The following is an 18,729-nucleotide window of genomic DNA, read 5'->3' as shown; positions in this document are numbered from 1 at the left end:
ATTATTGGGAGAAACAAAGGTTTGGAAACGGCCATTCCGCCCCCTCCTGGAGTCTTGCTTTCCGCGTCTCTACCGAGACTGGTGGAACGGGCCTGCAGTCCCAGAATTTTGGGAGGTGGAGATGGGAGGATCATTTCAGCCCAGGAGTTCGAAAACAGCCTGGGCAACATAGCAAAACCCAGTCTTACAAATAAAAAAATTTTAAAAATTAGTCGGACGTGATGGCACATGCCTGTAGTGCCAGCTACTCGGGAGGCTGAGGCAGAAAGATCGTTTGAGCCCAAAAGTTGGAGGTTGCAGTGACCCGAGATCGCGCCACTGCGCTCCAGCCTGGGCGACAGAGTGAGACCCTGTCTCTAAAAGAAATACAGGCCAACCCTGCAGAACCGCGTCTGCAGCCCGGGCTTTGTGGCTTCTCTCCGACCCCCTCCCAGTCGCAGACGCGCCCGCTTTCCGCCCCGCGCGCCGGAAGTGGCCGAGTCCCGTCGGCCCTGCGGGCCTCTCTCCGTCGCCATGGAAACGAAAGCGGCCAAGTAGAGCTCCGTCCTGACGCGCCGCCTCCCGTGGGCTCCGGCCGGCTAAGCCGCGGCGGACAACTATGCTGAAAGCCAAGATCCTCTTCGTGGGGCCTTGCGAGGTAAGTCCTGGCCCGGCGCGGCAGAGGGAGCGGGGAGCAGGCCTCGGGGCCTGGGCGAGCGCAGGTCCCCACCCGTCTGATCTGCGGCTTGCTCCCGGAGGCGGGAACCCGGGCCCACCGCGCCCATCCCGACTGGCGCCCCTGCCCTTTCCGTGAACTCGGTGCTTTCAGACCTTGATTCCAACCACTGCCCGGAGGAGGTAGTGGAGGCGAGCCCGGTGTTAATGAGCCCCGAAGGCCCAAGGTACTGAGTGGCATCATTGGAACCATAGCCTAGGTTTCGTGACTCTTTCTTTTGCCCCCGGGATCCCCCTAATGAATGCGTCTGTGGGTCTGGACTTTTGTTTGAGACAGGTTGTCGCTGTGTCGTCCAGGCTGGAGTGCAGTGGTGTGATCATAGCTCACTGCAGCCTCGACTTCCCTGGGCTCAAGCAGTCCTCCTGCCTCAGCCTCCTGAGTACCTGGGACTACAGGCGTGCACCACCACGCCCGACTAAATTTGTTGTTTTTGTTTTGTTTTGTTTTTTTGAGACAGAGTCTCGCCCTGTCACCCAGGCTGGAGTGCAGTGGCATGATCTTGGCTCAGTGCAAACTCCGCCTCCCGGGTTCAAGCGATTCTCCTGCCTCAGCCTCCTGAGTAGCTGAGATTACAGGCCCACGCCATTACCCCTGGCTAATTTTTGTATTTTTTGTAGAGGTGTGTTTTCACCTTGTTGGCCAGGCTGGTCTCTGCTGACCTCAAGTGATCCGCCAGCCTCGGCCTCCCACAGTGCTGGGATTATAGGGATGAGCCACCGCGCCTGGCCTTAATTTGTTAATTATTTGTAGAGACAGGATCTTGCTATGTTGCCTAGCACCTAGGCTGGTCTCCAACTCTTGGGCTCAAACAGTCCTCCCGCCTCAGTCTCTCAAAGTTCTGGGATTACAGGCATGAGCCTTTGCTCGAGTCCTGGGCGTTTTACTATATGGTCCTGGAACCATTGGCTATTAATGTGTGTGTTGGGGGCGTGGTAGTGGGGATCACATCTACATGTATACTTCACATCATCCACAGAAATAAAGCTCAGATGGACTAAGGCTAAATGCGTTTAAAAAAAAAAAAAAAAAAAAAAGGCCGGGCGCGGTGGCTCACGCCTGTAATCCCAGCACTTTGGGAGGCCGAGGCAGGCATATCACAAGGTCAGGAGATCGAGACCATCCTGGCTAACACGGTGAAACCCCGTCTCTACTAAAAATACAAAAAATTAGCCGGGCGTGGTGGCGGGTGCCTGTAGTCCCAGCTACTCGGGAGGCTGAGGCGTGAACCCGGGAGGTGGAGCTTGCAGTGAGCCAAGTCTGCGCCACTGCACTCCAGCCTGGGAGACAGAGCGAGACTCCGTCTCAAAAACTAATAATAATTAAAAAAAAAAAACCCAGCCGGATGCGGAGGCTCACGCTTCTAATCCCAGCACTTTGGGAGGCCAATGCAGGTGGATCACCTGAGGTCAGGAGTTCGAGTCCAGCCTGAGTAACATGGTGAAACCCCATCTGTACTAAAAATACAAAAATTCGCTGGGCTTGGTGGTGCATGCCTGTAATCCCAGTGACTCGGGAGTCTGAGGCAGGAGAATTGCTTGAATCCGGGAGGCAGAGGTTGCAATAAGCCAAGATCGCGCCATTGCACTCCAGCCTGGGGAACAAGAGCGAAACTCCATCTAAAAAAAAAATAAAATAAAACCTGTAGAAGTCTTAGGCCAGGCACAGTGGCTAACACCTGCCAGCACTTTGGGAGGCTGAGGTGGGGAGACCACTTGAGCTCAAGCATTCAAGACCAGCCTGGGCAACATAGGGAAACCCCATCTCTACAAGCAATACAAAAATTAGCTGGGCATGGTGATGCACACCTGTAGTCCCAGGTGGCTCAGGAGGCTGAGGCAGGAGGATCACTGGAGCCCTACAGATCAAGGCTGCAGTGAGCTATGATCACATTGCTGTACTCCAGCCTGGGCAACCGAGCAAGACCTTGTCTCAAAAAAAAAAAAAAAAAAAAGCAATGTGTATTACTCATATAATCGAGATGGACAAACAGCTGCATGTGAGATTATGAGACAGCTAGCCACGAGTCCCCAGGCTGACTTTGATCCTCTCTGTGACCTAAAAGAACTCCTTGGCTGGGCACAGTGGCTCATCCCTATAAACCCAGCACTCTGGGAGGCCCAGGTGTGTGGATCACCTGAAGTCAGGAGTTCGAGACCAGCCCGAGTAACATGGTGAAACCCCAATTTCTACTACAGATACAAAAGTAAGCCGGGCGTGGTGGCAGGCGCCTGTAATCCCAACTACTCTGGAGGCTGAGGCAGGAGAATCGTTTGAACCCGGGGGTTGCAGTGAGCCTAGATCACAGCCTGGGCAACAAGAGTGAAACTCTGTCTCAAAAAATAAAAATAAAAACTCCTTAATCCCATGCTCCCTGGACCCCAGACCAGGCTGTGCCCACTGCACTAGAGCAAGACAGTGAGGTCGTAACCACCCCAGTGATCTCAGGGTGCCCATGACCTATACTGCACCACACCGGGTTCCAGGCCACCTCTTGGGGTCATTTTTTTGGTTTCCTTTTCTGCCTTTCAGCAAAGACCTTTATTTGCACTCATTTTCACAGAGTGGAAAAACTGTTTTGGCCAACTTTCTGACAGAATCTTCTGACATCACTGAATACAGCCCAACCCAAGGAGTGAGGTGAGCCCTGACAAATCTGTGTCCCAGAGTGTCCAACTGGCTCGGCAGGGAGGCTCATTCCTCTAATCCCAGTGCTCTGGGAGGTCAAAGCGGGAGGATCGCCTGAGGCCTGGGCAATATAGGGAGACCCCGTCTCAACTAAAAATAAAACATTAGCCAGGTGTGTTGGCATGTGTCTGTAGTCTCAGCTACATGTTAGGTTGAAGCAGAAGGATTGTTTGAGGCCAGGAGTTGGAGGCTGCAGTGAGCTATGATCGTGCCACTGCACTCCAGCCTGGGTGACAGAGTGAGACCCTGTCTCAAAACAAAATTAATAATAAAACAATTTTAAAAGACTGCCCAGCCATCACCCACTTCCTACTTTTGTTGCTGTTGGCATTCCAAAAGTGTAATGCAGCCTCATTATTGGTGCTGCTACTGTTCGTCTTTTTTTTTTGGGATGGAGTCTCGTCCTGTCGCTGAGGCTGGAGTGTGGTGGCACGATCTCAGCTCACTGCAATCTCCGCCTCCCAGGTTCAAGCGATTCTCCTGCCTTAGCCTCCCCAGTAGCTGAGATCACAGGTGCACACCATCATGCCCAGCTAATTCTTTTATTTTTAGTGTAGCAAGGGTTTCACCATGTTGGCCAGGCTGGTCTCGAACTCCTGACCTCAAGTGATCTGCCCGCCTTGGCCTCCCAGACTGCTGAGATTACAGGCGTGAGCCACTGCACCCAGCCTACTGCTCTTCTTTTTCCTTTTAGGATCCTAGAATTTGAGAACCCGCATGTTACCAGCAACAACAAAGGCACGGGCTGTGAATTCGAGCTATGGGACTGTGGTGGCGATGCTAAGTATGTTTCCTTTAAAGAAAGTCACTTCATCAAATGGTTTAAAAATCAGCTGCCCAAGCCAGGGGCGGTGGCTCACACCTGTAATTCCAGCACTTTGGGAGGCCAAGGTGGGTGGCTCACCTGAGGAGAAGAGTTCAAGAGCAGCCTGGCCAACATGGCGAAACTCCGTCTCTACTAAAAATACAAAAAATTAGCCAGGCTTGGTGGCAGGCACATGTAATCCCAGTTGGGAGGCTGAGGCAGGAGAACTGCTTGAACCTGGAGGCGGAGGTTGCAGTGAACCCTGGAGGTTCAAGCGGAGGTTGCTTGAACCCGGGAGGCAGAAGTTGCAGTGAGCTGAGATCGCACCATTGTACTCCAGCCTGGGCGACAGAGCTGGACTTCTAGCTCAAAAAACAAAACAAAACAAAAAAATCAGCTGCCCACCAGGCACCATGAAGTTGGGCCTAGTATGTTTCCTGGCACGTATGAGGAGCTTGATAAATGATTTGCTGACATGCATTGCTTTATACACTTTAGTGATTAGGTTATGATGCAGTTAGAAGTCATCAACCTTGGCCAGGCGCAGTGGCTGACGCCTGTAATCCCAGTACTTTGGGAGGCTGAGGCAGGCAGATCACCTCAGGTCAGGAGTTCAAGACCAGCCGGCCCAACATGATGAAACCTCATTTTAAAAAAAAAAAAAATAGGGGCCAGGCACCATGGCTCACACCTGTAATCCATTGCTTTGGGAGATCACCAGAGCTCAGGAGTTTGAGACCAGCCTGGCCAACATAGCGAAACCCTGTCTCTACTAAAAATACAAAACTTAGCCCAGTACGGTGGTGTGTACCAGTAATCAGGAGACTGAGGCACGAGAATCGCTTGAACCTGGGAGGTGGACATTGCGGTGAGCCAAGATCGTGCTACGGCACTCAAGCCTGGGCGACAGAGCCAGACTCTTGTCTCCAAAAATAATAATAATAATAATAATTTTTTTTTAATGAAGAAATCATCCACCTTTACAAAAAATAAAATTGACCTGATGTGGTCCTAGCTACTCAGGAAGCTGAGGCAGAAGGATCACTTGGGCCCACATTGGAGGCTGCAGTGAGCTATGATCCCACAACTGCACTTCAGCCTGGGAGACAGAGCAAGACCCTGTCTCTTAAAAAAAAAAAGTCATCCCCCAACTTTTTTTAAAATTTTTTTTATTTTTTTGAGACAGAGTCTCGCTCTGTCACCCACGCTGGAGTGCAGTGGCACGATCTCAGCTCACTGCAAGCTCTGCCTCCTGGGTTCACGCCATTCTCCTGCCTCAGCCTCCCGAGTAGCTGGGACTATAGGTGCCCACAACCACACTCCCCTAACTTTTTTGTATTTTTAGTAGAGACGGGGTTTCACCGTGTTAGCCAGGATTGTCTCGATCTCCTGACCTCGTGATCGCCCGCCTCGGCCTCCCAAAGTGCTGGGATTACAGGTGTGAGCCACCACGCCCAGCCGTCATAGACCAACTTTTAATACTAAGATATTCTTTTTAAAGTCCACAGTTAGAAACCAGAATGACCTAACTTTCCCTGTTGTTCCTTTTCTTCCTCGCAGGTTTGAGTCCTGCTGGCCGGCCCTGATGAAGGATGCTCATGGAGTGGTGATCGTCTTCAATGCTGACATCCCAAGCCACCGGAAGGAAATGGAGATGTGGTATTCCTGCTTTGTCCAACAGCCGTCCTTACAGGACACACAGTGTATGCTAATTGCACACCACAAACCAGGCTCTGGAGATGATAAAGGAAGCCTGTCTTTGTGTAAGGAAACTGGAATTTCTCTTCCTCTTTTGTCTTGAATGTTTTGGACACCTACATATTGTCCCATGTCCTAGAAACCAGCAGCTCTGTCCAGTTACTGAGCACCTACTGTACCCTAGGCAATTGTTACCCTCTCCATGTGAGTCCACTACGTCTCTACTAAAAATACAAAAATTAGCCAGGCATGATGGCAGGCGCCTGTACTCCCAGCTACTCAGGGGGCTAAGGCAGGAGAATTGCTTGAGCCCAGGAGGCGGAGATTGCAGTGAGTTGAGATCTCACCACTACACTCCAGTTTGTGTGACAGGGCGAGACACCATCTCAAAAAAAAAAAAAAAAAAAGAGAAAAGACCGGGTGCGGTGGCTCAGACCTGTAATCCCAACACTTTGGGAGGCCAAGGTGTGCGGATCACTTGAGGTCGGGAGTTCTAGACCAACCTGGCCAACACGGTGAAACCCCATCTCTACTAAAAATACAAAAATTAGCCAGGGGTGGTGGTGCATACCTGTAATCCCAGCTACTCAGGAGGCTGAGGCAAGAGAATCACTTGTACCTGGGAGGTAGAGGTTGCAGTGAGCTGAGATTGTGCCATTGCACTCCAGCCTGGACAACAAGAGTGAAACTCTGTTTCAAAAAAAAAAAGAGCAGAATACAGAGTGGGAAAATCCTTGTAGCTATTCTTGGGTACAACTAGGGGGGCACTCTTTCTGAAAGAACTTTTCTGGAGAAAAACCTCCAATTCACATAACACACATCCCAGAGGTGACACAGTCATCCTGAAAAAGAACTCACAAAATATTCAGAAACAAAATGAGAATAATAGAGAATCTATTCCTTTCTGGTTTAAGAACAGAAGACCTGGAAAGTGGTTTGTAAGGTTTTCATCCTGTCGCCAGGGGGCAGTATAGCAAACCCATTCTCTGTTCTCTGGTGTCAAGAAGACAACTTGATCTGTGAACTTCAGAAAGTTAAATTTCTTCTAGAAGTTTCATTGGGAGCTATAAAGGGCCCTTCATGGAAACTCTTTGCCTAATTAACCTTATCTTCATTTTCAAGCGCCACCCTTGAACAAGCTGAAGCTGGTGCACTCAAACCTGGAAGATGACCCTGAGGAGATCCGGATGGAATTCATAAAGTATTTAAAAAGCATAATCAACTCCATGTCTGAGAGCAGAGACAGGGAGGAGATGTCAATTATGACCTAGCCAGCCTTCACCTGGGACTGCCACATCCCCAGTGAAATCAGCATGTTTCTCGGTGCAGATCTGAAATCACATCCAGCTCCTGATGTTTTCTTCTCCCTCTGACTGCAGAGGAAGTGTTCCTACCTGCAGGAAGGCACCTGTCACACAGGGCGTTCACTCAGACCATCTGTGCTCTGCCCTGAGTTCAGTTGAGAAAATCCTATTATCAAATTTGGATTTCCTGGCCCCAGAACTTCCCAAAGACCTGTAAAATGGAGGGATTTACCACCTCACATATGTCCAGTTAAACAGTTTGTGGACTTGTAACCGTCGCAGCCCAATGATACAACAGTAGTTTAATCACGTGTATTGGCTTGAATGTGATTTTCATTCCTTGATTCACCCAACAAATACCGACTGGCTGAGCACCTGCTGTGTGTGCACTGCTGTTCTAGCTGCTGACCATAGACAGCATAAATGAAAAAGACAGAAATTCCCACCTTCGTGGAACTCTCCATTTTCCTAAATGTTAGGTTGGTGCAAAACTAATCGTGGTTTTTGCCATTTTTAATTTTTAATGGCAAAAGCCACTATTACTTTTGCACCAACCTAATAGGCCGATTCAGAAACTTGAGTGCAATGTCTTGGATATGCAAAAAAGAAAATCAAAACGCATTCTTCATTCTCTATAAGAGTTCTAGGCGGGGCGTGGTGGCTCACACTTGTAATCCCAGCACTTTGGGAGGCCAAGGTGGGCGGATCATGAGGTCAGGAGATCGAGACCATCCTGACCAACGTGGTGAAACCCCATCTCTACTAAAAATAGAAAAATCAGCTGGGTGTGGTGCCGCGTGCCTGTAATCCCAGCTACTTGGGAGGCTGAGGCATAAGAATTGTTTGAGCCCGGGAGACAGAGGTTGCAGTGAGCCAAGATTGCGCCACTGTACTCCAGCTTGGGCAACAGAGCAAGACTCCATCTCAAAAAAAAAAGAGTTCTAGCCCAGGAGCGGTGGCTCACACTTGTAATCCCAGCACTTTGGGATGCTAAGGCAGGCGGATCACTTGAGGCCAGGAGTTCAAGACCAGCCTGGCCAACATGGCAAAATCCCATCTCTACTAAAAATACAAAAATTCACAGGGTGTGTTGGCACACGCCTGTAATACCAGCTACTCAGGTGGCTGAGGCATAAGAATTGCTTGAGCCTGGGAGGCAGAGATTGCACTGAGCCGAGATCGCGCCACTATACTCCAGCCTGGGCAACAGACATCCTGTCTCAAATAAATTAAATTACATTAAATGTTTAAGAAGAAGTCTAAATAAGTTTCATATGCTGCCCTCCCTCAGATAATGAGGGAACCTGGGGTACTTAAAATGCCAAATGAACGTATACTTGATCCTTATTCATAGATTTTGTATTTGAGAATTTGCCTACTCACTAAAATATGTTTGTAACCCCCAAATCAATACTGTGGCACTTTCTCAGTTATTCGCAGACACACAGAGACAAAAAATTTGAAGTGCCTGGCTGGGCGTGGTGGCTCACGCCTGTAATCCCAGCACTTTGGGAGGCCGAGGCAGGCGGATCACAAGGTCCAGAGATCGAGACCATCCTGGCCAACATGGTGAAACCCCGTCTCTACTAAAAATACAAAAATTAGCTGGGCATGGTGGGGCATGCCTGTAGTCCCAGCTACTCAGAAGGGTGAGGCAGAATTGCCTGAACCCGCGAGGCGGAGACTGCAGTGAGCCGAGATCGCACCACTGCACTCCAGCCTGGTGACAGAGCAAAAAAAAAAAAATTGAAGTGCCTGGCCAGTTGCAGTGGGTCACACCTGTAATCCCAACACTTTGGGAGGCTAAGATGGGAGAACTGATGGAAGCCAGGAGTTCAAGAACAGCCTGGCCAACATGGCGAAACCCCATCTCTACTAAAAATACAAAAATTCGCCAGGCATGTTGGCACACACCTGTAATACCAGCTACTCATGTGGCTGAGGCATAAGAATTGCTTGAGCCTGGAGGCCGGGTGCAGTGGCTTACGCCTGTAATCCCAACACTTTGGGAGTCTGAGACGGGTGGAAATCCTGAGGTCAGGAGTTCAAGACCAGCCTGTCCAACATGGTGAAACCCCGTCTCTACTAAAAATACAAAAATTAGCTGGGCGTGGTAGCACGTGCCTGTAATCCCAGCTACCTGGGAAGCTGAGGCAGGAGAATCGCTTGAACCTGGGAGGCGGAGGTTGCAGTAAGCCGAGATTGTGCCATTGCACTCCAGCCTGGGCAACAAGAGCAAAACTCCATCTCAAAAAAAAGAAAAAAGTGCCGAGTGGAGTGGCTCACACCTGTAATCCCAGCACTTTGGGAGGCCAAGGCAGGTAAATCACAAGGTCAGGAGTTCGAGACCAGCCTGTCCAACATGGTGAAACCCCGACTCTACTAAAAACACAAAAAATTAGCTGGGCCTGGTGGCGGGTACCTGTAATCCCAGCTACTCAGGAAGCTGAGGGAGGAGAATCACTTGAACCCAGGAGGCAGAGGTTGCAGTGAGCCAAGATCGCGCCACTGCTCTCCAGCCTCGGCAACATAGCGAGACTCCGTCACAAAAAAAAAAAAAAAAAAAACAACTCTCTCCAAAACATTATATTTATTTAGATGACCTTGATATGGACACTATATCCAGTTGGAAAGTGGAGTACAGACACAATTTTTTGTTTTTTGTTTTTTTGAGACACGGTGTCACTCTGTCATCCCGGCTGGAGTGCAGTGGCATGACCACAGCTCACAGCAGCCTCAATCTCCTGGGCTCCACTGATCTCGCCAGCTCAGCCTCTGAGTAGTTGAGACTAGAGATACACACACCAGTAATGGTCCAGCCCACTAATTAGTGCACGCCTGGCTAATTTTTGTACTTTTTGTAGAGATGGGGTTTTGCCATGTTGCCCCAGCTGATCTCGAACTCCTGTCCTTGAGTGATCCGCCCGTCTCAGCCTCCCAAAGTGGTGGGATTACAGGCATGAGTCATTGTGCCCAGCCCATACACAACCTCTAAAAAATTTTTCATAACACCAAATTGGTAAACATGTTCAAAAGATTTAATGTACAGAATCACTAGATACGGTGAGTTTACGGTTTATTGTAGAAGCAAGTTTGTTTTAATCATCTTAGGAGATTTTTTTGTGTTGTTTTGTTTTTTTGAGAGTCTCACTGCAATCTCCACCCTCCGGGTTCAACTGATTCTCCTCCCTCAGCCTCCCAAGCAGCTGGGATTACAGGTGCCTGCCACTGCACCCGGCTAATTTTTGTATTTTTAGTAGAGACGGTTTCACCATCTTGGCCAGGCTGGTCTTGAACTCCTGACCTTGTGGTCTACCCGCCTCAGCCTCCCAAAGTGCTGGGATTACAGGTGTGAGCCACTGCACCCAGCCATGGAGTTATTTTTCATTCATAATTGTTATGTTTGTAATTTTTTAACATAGCCAATAAGAAAATACACTAAGTAGATGAAATGGTAGATGTAGCTCTTTTCAGCTGAGAGTGGGAGAAAAAGTTGAGGCACCTAAGGGAGATGAATAAAAATGCTAGGGTGTCTGTCACTTTCACAGTGAGGAGGGCTGACATGTAGCTGTGTGAGCAGTCTACTGGAGAGAGTGGCTTTTCTAGACCATGACAATTCCCTGGCAATTTAGTTTGAACCACATTCACCTGTTAGGATTACCATGCGTATTATTAATGTCAACTGAACTAAATCATCTTTCCATGACAGCTGCCTAACAAGAATCCATCTCACAAAATTGACCACCTCAAAAGGAAATTATTTTCATTTCACCTTTAATGATTATTCAAGACCCCAGTATAACAACCCAAGGCCAGGCGCAGTGGCTCACGCCTGTAATCCCAGCACTTTGGGAGGCCGAGGCGGGTGGATTACGAGGTTAAGAGATCGAGACCATCCTGGCTAACAGTGAAACCCCACCTCTACTAAAAATACAAAAAATAAGCCGGGTGTGGTGGCGGGCACCTGTAGTCCCAGCTACTCAGGAGGCTGAGGCAGGAGAATGGCGTGAACCTGGGAGGCGGAGCTTGCAGTGAGCCGAGGTCCCGCCACTGCACTCCAGCCTGGGCGACAGAGCGAGACTCCATCTCAAAAAAAAAAAAAAAAAAAAAATTAACCCAGCAGATTTTGTTCACCTGAATGGCCAGAGTACAACCCATTAAATATTTGAATTGAGTAAAAGCCTTCAGATTTTAAGTTTTGAGAGTTTTTTTTCTGCTTGATCTAGTCTATCATTGAAGCTTTCGAGTATACTTTGTATTTCATCCAGTGATTTCTTCAGTTCCACATTTGCCATGTGCTCTGGAAAACTCTGTATCTGGTTGGTAAATACCTCAACCATATCCAGAATTGCTGTTGACATTTCCTTACTTTCTTTTTCAGAAGTCTCTTGAATCCCTCTAATCTTGGTTAAAATCAGTTTCCACAATTCTCTATATGACATTTCTTGAATTTCTTTTGGATGGGGATCTGTTGCTGGAGAATTACTGGGTTCCTTTGGAGGCGTCCCACTTCCTTGCTTTTTCACGTTTCCCGTGTCCTTCCATTGAGATCTGCACATCCTGTGTAAATTGCTTCTTCCAAGTTTGTGAATTTGCTTTGTAGGGGAGGACTTCTTCCTAAAAATGTAGATAGGGTGTTGGTTAGGTGGGGCACTTTGGCTTTGATTGGGGTAGTACTGTAGGCTCTGTATGATTTCTTGGGTGGCTTAGGGTGTGGTTATTAGTGGAGGGTGTGGTTGCTGGGGACTAAGAGGCTAAGGTGGGCCAGTCTTTGAGCCCAGGAGCGGTGTAGGCTGGCTCTGGCATTAATGGGTTCAGGGGAGCAATTTGGAGTCCTCTAGGTGCTCTGCTCGAATCCTGGTAGTGGCAGCCCCTGTGGGCGGCAAGCTACCCAGGCGCCGAGGCAAGAGACCGAGGACACGAGCTGTTCCAGTACAATAAAATATAAAACAAGAATAGTTATACCAGATATAGATCTTAGAGATGATTATATATGAATATCATTAATCATTAGTTGGTAGTAATTAATTTATCCCAATATTATAATAATCCTTGCTCTAAAATCATAACCTAGGAAAAACCAGGCCATACAGAGATAGGAGCTGAGGGGACATAGTGAGGTGTGACCAGAAGACAAGAGTGCGAGCCTTCTGTTATGCCCAGACAGGGCCACCAGAAGGGCTCCTTGGGCTAGCGGTAACGCCAGCTTCTGGGAAGACGCCCCTTGCCGAGCGGACGGTAGTCTAGTGGTAGCCTCAGTGTCAAGGAAAAACACAGGCTACTTAGCAGACCGGGAAAGGGAGTCTCCCTTTCCCCGGGGGAGTTTAGAGAAGACTCTGCTCCTCCACCTCTTGTTGGAGGGCCTGACATTAGTCAGGCTTGCCCGCAGTTATCTGGAGGCCTCACCATCTCCCTGTGATGCTGTGCTTCAGTGGTCACGCTCGTAGTCCGCCTTCATGTTCCATCCTGTACACCTGGCTCTGCCTTCTAGATAGCAGTAGTAAATTAGTGAAAATACTAAAAGTCTCTGATATGCAAAAATAATGGCGTAAGCTGTCTTTCTCTTTGTCTCTCTCTCTCGCTGCCTTGGCTGCCAGGCAGGGAAGGGCCCCCTGTCCAGTGGACACGTGACCCACGTGACCTTACCTATCATTGGAGATGACTCACACTCTTTACCCTGCCCCTTTTGCTTTGTATCCAAAATATAACAGCGCAGCCAGACATTCGGGGCCACTGCCGGTCTCCGCGCATTGGTGGTAGTGGTGCCCCGGGCCCAGCTGTCTTTTCTTTTATCCCTTTGTCTTGTGTCTTTATTTCTACACTCTCTCGTCGCCGCACACAGGGAGAAGCCCCCCGACCCTGTGGGGCTGGTCCCTGCAAGCCCCAGCTAAGCTCGTGGTTGATCCCAGGCCCTGGAGCAGTGAGTGTGATGTGGATGAGGACAGTTGCAGTTGGGTGGTATCCCACAGGCTGGGTCCCTGACCCCAGACCCCGGGGAGGAGTGTTCAGCCGCCAACGGTGGCGGAAAGGGCAGAACAGCCACCAATCCCCAGGCCCCTGGCCCTCCTGCTCAAGGTCCTCAGGGGACGGAGCCGCCAGTGGACTGTCCTCAGGCCCCCGGGGTTTGGGCTCTGGTTGTGACAGACAGGGAAGGGCTGGGCCCCAGGCGGCGGACGGAAAGCTCAGGCGGGGCAGGGCGGGCGCGCAGTTGGCTCGTGTCTGGGTCCCGCGGCAGCGGCGGGATTATTTGTCCTTTGGGACTCCTGAGAGCGCCTGGCCTCCCCTCTCCCTCCCTGGCCCTCAGCTGGCGGCGGCGGTAACCGCAGGCAAGGCAGGAGCTGCCCTCGGGGCTGGACTCTCGGGGTGGCAGGGGCTGCAGCTGCAGCTGCTCAGGGCAAGGAAGCCCGTGGGCTCCACGTGGGCTCCACGTGGGCTCCTGCAACGCCGCTGGGGAATCTCTCGCCCGCTGCCCCCTATTCTGGAGGTCCGCGAGGGTCGGGGGGCTGTGGAAGTCCCTGGGGGAACTGCATAGCCCCGGGGTCTCTCACTCACCCTTTCCCCGCGCGCGGGAGCTGCAGGCCGTCCCCGCCGATCCAATTTCTCCGCGCAGGCTGCCTGGGTGCCTCTGCTCCGCTCCTCGGGCTCCCCGTGGCTTCTCGGCTGAATCCCGCGTTCTCTTAGCGGATCTGCTGCAAGTGTGAAAACCTACCGGCTCCTTCGGTTCCCGTCAGAGGAGAGGTGCGTGCCGGCTGCATCTACCAGGCCATCTTGAGCCTGTAGTCCTAGGTGGAAACGGGCCCCAAGTGCGCGAGTTACTCAAGGGCGTTCCCTGGAGGGTCTGGGTCGGCCCCGCCCCCTTCACTCCCGGGAAGGCCCCGCCCTCCCCTTCCAGACTGGACTGAAAGCTCCGTGTGCACACAGGTGTGTTAGCTAATAGAAATGGGAGCAGACTATTTACACTTTTCCACAAAAGTGTTCATTTTTCACTTTTTTTTTTTTTTTTGAGACGGAGTGCAGCGGCGCGATCTCGGCTCTCTGCAACCCGGGTCCAGGGTCAAGCAATTATCCTGCCTCAGCCTCCCGAGTAGCTGGGTTTATAGGCAAGCGCCACCACGCCCAGCTAATTTTTGTATTTTTAGTAGAGACGGGGTTTCACCATGTTGGCCAGGCTGGTCCTGAACTCCTGACCTCGTGATCTGCCCGCCTCGGCCTCCCAAAGTGCTGGGATTACAGGCGTGAGCCACGGCGCCCAGCCATTTTTCACTTTCTATACTGGGGATTTGTGTTAGTACTCACAGAGCCACCTTATTCTTTTTTTTTTTTTTTTTTAGACGGAATCTGGCTCTTGTTGGCCAGGCTGGAGTGCAACGGCGCGATCTCGGCTCACCGCAACCTCCCCCTCCCGGGTTCAAGCGATTCTCCTGCCTCAGCCTCCTGAGTAGCTGGGATTACAGGCGCACGCCACCATGCCCTGCCTAATTTCGTATTTTTAGTAGAGATGGGGTTTCACCATGTTGGCCAGGCTGGTCTCAAACTCTTGACCTCAGGTGATCTGCTCACCTCGGCCTCCCAAAGTGCTGGGATTACAGACGTCAGCCGCCGTGCCCGGCCTGCCTTATTCTTTTTTACAGCTAAATAATATCAATATAATCATCTATATTGGAATGTCACATATTGTTAGATGTTTGAAAAATCTTTTATGTTGAAATATGCATTTTTATAGATGGCCTTTGAACAGTATTGAAAAACATGATTTGGGGGTATAAATATGTTTAAATGTGAAATTTCAGAGAGATGATTTCAACAATCATTCCTTTCAAAGGTAAAGATGGGGCTGAGCACAGTGGCTCACGCCTGTAATCCCAGCATTTTGGAAGGCCAAGGCGGGCAGATCACCTGAGGTTGGGAGTTCGAGACCAGCTTGACCAACATGGTGAAACCCCATCTCTACTAAAAATGCAAAATTAGCCGGGCGTGGTGGCGCATGCCTGTAATCCCAGCTACTTAGGAGGCTGAGGCAGGAGATTCGCTGGAACCCAGGAGGTGGAGGTTGCGGTGAGCCAAGATGGCACATTGCACTCCCGCCCCGGCAACAAGAGTGAGACTCCATCTCAAAAAAAAAAAAAAAGAAATGTTTTGTTTTTATATTATAAACCTAAAAATTTAGTCACTCAGTATTTTTTCATATTTAACAATACTGCTATCTTGTGACAAACTATCCATAACATAAAATTTGCCAATCTAACCTTTATTTTATTTTTTTTTTTTTGAGATGGAGTCTCACTCTATTGCCAGTCTGGAGTGCAGTGGTGTGATCTTAGCTCACTGCAACCTCCACCTCCTGGGTTCAAGCCATCCTCCTGCCTCAGCCTCCCGAGTAGCTGAGACTATAGGCGTATGCCACCACGCCCAGCTAATTTTTGTATTTTCAGTAGAGACAGGGTTTCACCATTGTCGGCCAGGATGATCTCAAAGTCTTGACCTTGTGATCTGCCCGCCTCAACCTCCCAAAGTACTGGGATTACAGGCATGAGCCACCGTGCCCAGCCTGCCTCTTTAGCCTAGGCTGGAGTGGAGTGGTGCCATCTGGGCTCACTTCAACCTCCATCTCCTTGGCCCAAGCCATCCTCCCACCTTAGCCTCCCAAGTAGCTGAGACTACAGGATCGCACCACCACGACCAGCCAAATTTTTACTGTAGAGACGGGGTTTCACCATGCTCCCCAGACTGGTCTCAAACTTGCGAGCTGAATCCATCCACCCACCTTACCAGGACCAGCCCATTCTAACCATTTGGAAGTATACAGTTCAGTAGCATTAAATACACTCACATTGTTATGCAACCATCACCACCATCCATCTCCAGAACTTTCTATGATCCCTAACTGAAACTCTATAACCATTGAACAACTCCCCTTTCCTCCTTCCCCCAGGCCCTGGCAACCACCATTCTATTCTATTTTTTGTCTCTGATGTTGCCTCCTCTAAGTCCTTTATACAAGGGGAATCATATGGTATTTGTTTTTTTGTTACTGGTTTATTCCAGGTAACCTAATGATCTCAAGGTTCACCTGATTGCAGCATGTGTCAGAATTTCCTTCCTTTTTAAGGTGAGCATGGTGGCTCATGCCCATAATCCCAGCACTTTGGGAGGCCAAGGCAAGTGGATGACCTGAGGCCAGGAGTTCAAAACCAGCCTGGCCAACATGGCAAAACCGTCTCTACTAAAAATACAAAATTAGCCAGGCGTGGTGGCGCATGCCTGTAATCCCAGCTACTCGGAAGGCTGAGGCAGGAGAATTGCTTGAACCCAGGAGGCTTGAGGTTGCGGTGAGCCGAGATCACGCCATTGCACTCCAGCCTGGGCAACAAGAATGAAACTCCATCTCTAAATAAATAAATAAATAAGCCAGACATGGTGGGGCACACCTGTAATCCCAGCTACTCAGGAGGTCGAGGCACAAGAATCGTGTGAACCTGGGAGGTGGAGGTTGCAGTGAGCCGACGTCTCGCCACTGTACTCTAGCCTGGGTGACAAAGAGAGACTCTGTCTGGAAAACAAAACAAAAAACCTTCTTTCCTTAAGAAGGTAGAATAATATTCCATCATATGGCCAGACCACATTTTGTTTATCCATTCATCTGTTGGCTATTTAGGTGTTTCCAACTTTTGACTTTAGTGAGTACACTGTAGCAGCATGGGTGTACAGCTCACCCAGGATATTTTGGAAGATTGTTGGCATTTATCTCCAAAAGTTTATTTATTTATTTATTTTTTGAGACGGGGGTCTCACTCTGTCATCCAGGCTTGAGTGCAGTGGTGCGATCTCAGCTCACTGCAAGCTCCGCCTCCTGGGTTCATGCCATTCTCCTGCCTCAGCCTCCTGGTAGCTGGGACTACAGGCGCCCGCCACCACGCCCGGCTAATTTTGTTTCTATTTTTAATAGAGACGGGGTTTCAGCATGTTGGCCAGGCTGGTCTTGAACTCCTGACCCTAGGTGATCCACCCTCCTCGGCCTCCCAAAAGTGCTGGGATTATAGGCCTGAGCCACCTCACCTGGCAGAGTGTGTTTTCCAGACTATGACAATTGCCTGGTAATTTAGCTTAAATTACATTCACCTGTTAGGATTACTGTGCGTACTGTTAATGTCAACTGAATCAAATCATCTTTCCATGACTGCTGCCTAACAAGAATCCATCTCAGCCAGCCCGGTGGCTCATGCCTGTAATCCCAGCCCTTTGGGAAGCCGAGGCGGGTGGATCACCTGAGGTCAGGAGTTTGAGACCACCTTGGCTAACATGGTGAAACCCCATCTCTACTAAAAATACAAAAATAAGCTGGGTGTGGTGGTACACGCCTGTAGTCCCAGCTACTCTGGAGGCTAAGGCAGGAGAATCTCTTGAACCTGGGAGACGGAGGTTGCAGTGAACCGAAATCATGCCACTGCACTCCAGCCTGGGCGACAGAGCAAGACTCAGTCTCATTAAAAAAAAAAAAAAAAAATCGACCTCATAAAATTGATCATCTCAAAAAGAAATTATTCTCATTTCACTTTAATGATTATCCAAGACCCCAGTATAAGAATTAACCCAGCAGATTTCGTTCACATTAATGGCCAGAGTATAATAACCCTTTAAATCTTTAAGAAACATGCTTCAGATTTCAAGTTTTGAGAGTCTTTCTTCTTCTTGTTCTAGTCTATCACTGAAGCTTTTGAGTTTACTTTGTATTTCATCCAGTGATTTCTTCAGCTTCAGAAGTGTCGTTAGGTTGTATTTAATAATATCACTGGAGTTGATAATTTTTTCCTGCAGTACGGTAACTCCTTCCATCTTTTTTCTCTGTTCTTTTCCAAATGATGCTTGTATTATGCCCACAACTGTATAATATGTATATTCAATTCTCTCTCCAAAATGTCTTCTGTTTCTTTTGGATGGGGATCTGCTGCTGGAGAATTACTGGGTTCCGTTGGAGGCGCCCCATTTCCTTGCTTTTTCATGTTTTCTGTGTCCTTCCGTTGAGATCTGTGCATCCTGTGAAAGTGGCTTCTTCCAAGTTTGTGAACTCGCTTTGTAGGGGAGGACTTCTTCCTGAAAATGTAGATAGGGTGTTGGTTAGCTGGGGCACTTTGGCTTTGATTTGGGGTAGTACTGTAGGCTCTGTATGATTTCTTGGGTGGCTTAGGGTGTGGTTATTAGTGGAGGCTGTGGTTGCTGGGGACTAGGCGGCCAGGTGGGCCAGTATTTGGGCCCCAGTGGTGGCCTGATCTTACCTATTCTTTAGTCCCAGAGCAGTGCATGCTGGCTCTGTTATTAGCGGGTTGTGGGGAGTGATTCGTGTGTCTCTAGGTGCCCTGCTCTAATGCTGGTAGTGGCAGCCACTGGCTGGGGGTGTGGCTGATCTCAGGCGTTGGGGCAGTGGGTGTGATGTGGGCAGGGTAGTTGCAGTTGGGGGGGCAACCCTCCGGAATCCAGGCGGTCCCTGCTGGTGTTGGTGGTGGCTGACCAGGTTGGGCGGGCAC

At 49.6% G+C, this 18,729-nt stretch overlaps 1 protein-coding gene and 1 long non-coding RNA gene across 7 annotated transcripts, besides 2 other annotated features; one reads left to right on the top strand and one right to left on the bottom strand.

The window, feature by feature from the left end:
- The first annotated feature begins 484 nt into the window (after nucleotides 1–484).
- On the top strand, nucleotides 485–11,394 carry IFT22 (intraflagellar transport 22). 6 transcript variants are annotated; one of them, NM_001287525.2, is made up of 6 exons: nucleotides 496–637; nucleotides 809–881; nucleotides 3,276–3,352; nucleotides 4,095–4,184; nucleotides 5,766–5,968; nucleotides 7,026–11,394. In NM_001287525.2, exons 5-6 carry the CDS (start codon nucleotides 5,791–5,793, stop codon nucleotides 7,172–7,174), a joined length of 327 nt encoding a protein of 108 aa, NP_001274454.1. In that variant the 5' UTR covers nucleotides 496–637; nucleotides 809–881; nucleotides 3,276–3,352; nucleotides 4,095–4,184; nucleotides 5,766–5,790; the 3' UTR covers nucleotides 7,175–11,394. The 6 variants fall into 6 exon arrangements, with proteins under 6 accessions (NP_001274455.1, NP_001274454.1, NP_073614.1 ...); NM_022777.4 differs by lacking the exon at nucleotides 809–881; NM_001130821.3 differs by lacking the exon at nucleotides 809–881 and having other exon boundaries at nucleotides 3,245–3,352.
- Nucleotides 654–773: a silencer, noted in NCBI's record as "silent region_18483". NCBI's record gives its function as "represses an Ori minimal core promoter by ATAC-STARR-seq in GM12878 lymphoblastoid cells {active_cell/tissue: GM12878}" and the evidence as "EXISTENCE:reporter gene assay evidence [ECO:0000049][PMID:35858748]".
- EMSLR (E2F1 mRNA stabilizing lncRNA) lies at nucleotides 10,969–14,001 on the bottom strand. Its single transcript, NR_110115.2, has 2 exons — nucleotides 13,760–14,001; nucleotides 10,969–11,824 (listed from the first exon to the last, which is right to left on the bottom strand). It is a non-coding gene; the product is annotated as an E2F1 mRNA stabilizing lncRNA (long non-coding RNA).
- Nucleotides 12,503–13,330: an enhancer, noted in NCBI's record as "H3K27ac-H3K4me1 hESC enhancer chr7:100952259-100953086 (GRCh37/hg19 assembly coordinates)". NCBI's record gives its function as "activates a minimal SCP1, AML or CMV promoter by ChIP-STARR-seq in naive H9 embryonic stem cells {active_cell/tissue: H9 hESC(naive)}" and the evidence as "EXISTENCE:reporter gene assay evidence [ECO:0000049][PMID:30033119]".

Source organism: Homo sapiens, chromosome 7 (genome assembly GCF_000001405.40).
Source record: "Homo sapiens chromosome 7, GRCh38.p14 Primary Assembly".
Lineage (NCBI taxonomy): Eukaryota > Metazoa > Chordata > Mammalia > Primates > Hominidae > Homo > Homo sapiens.
The sequence above is the reverse complement of the archived record's forward strand: the minus strand, read 5'-3'. Positions and strand labels throughout refer to the sequence as shown.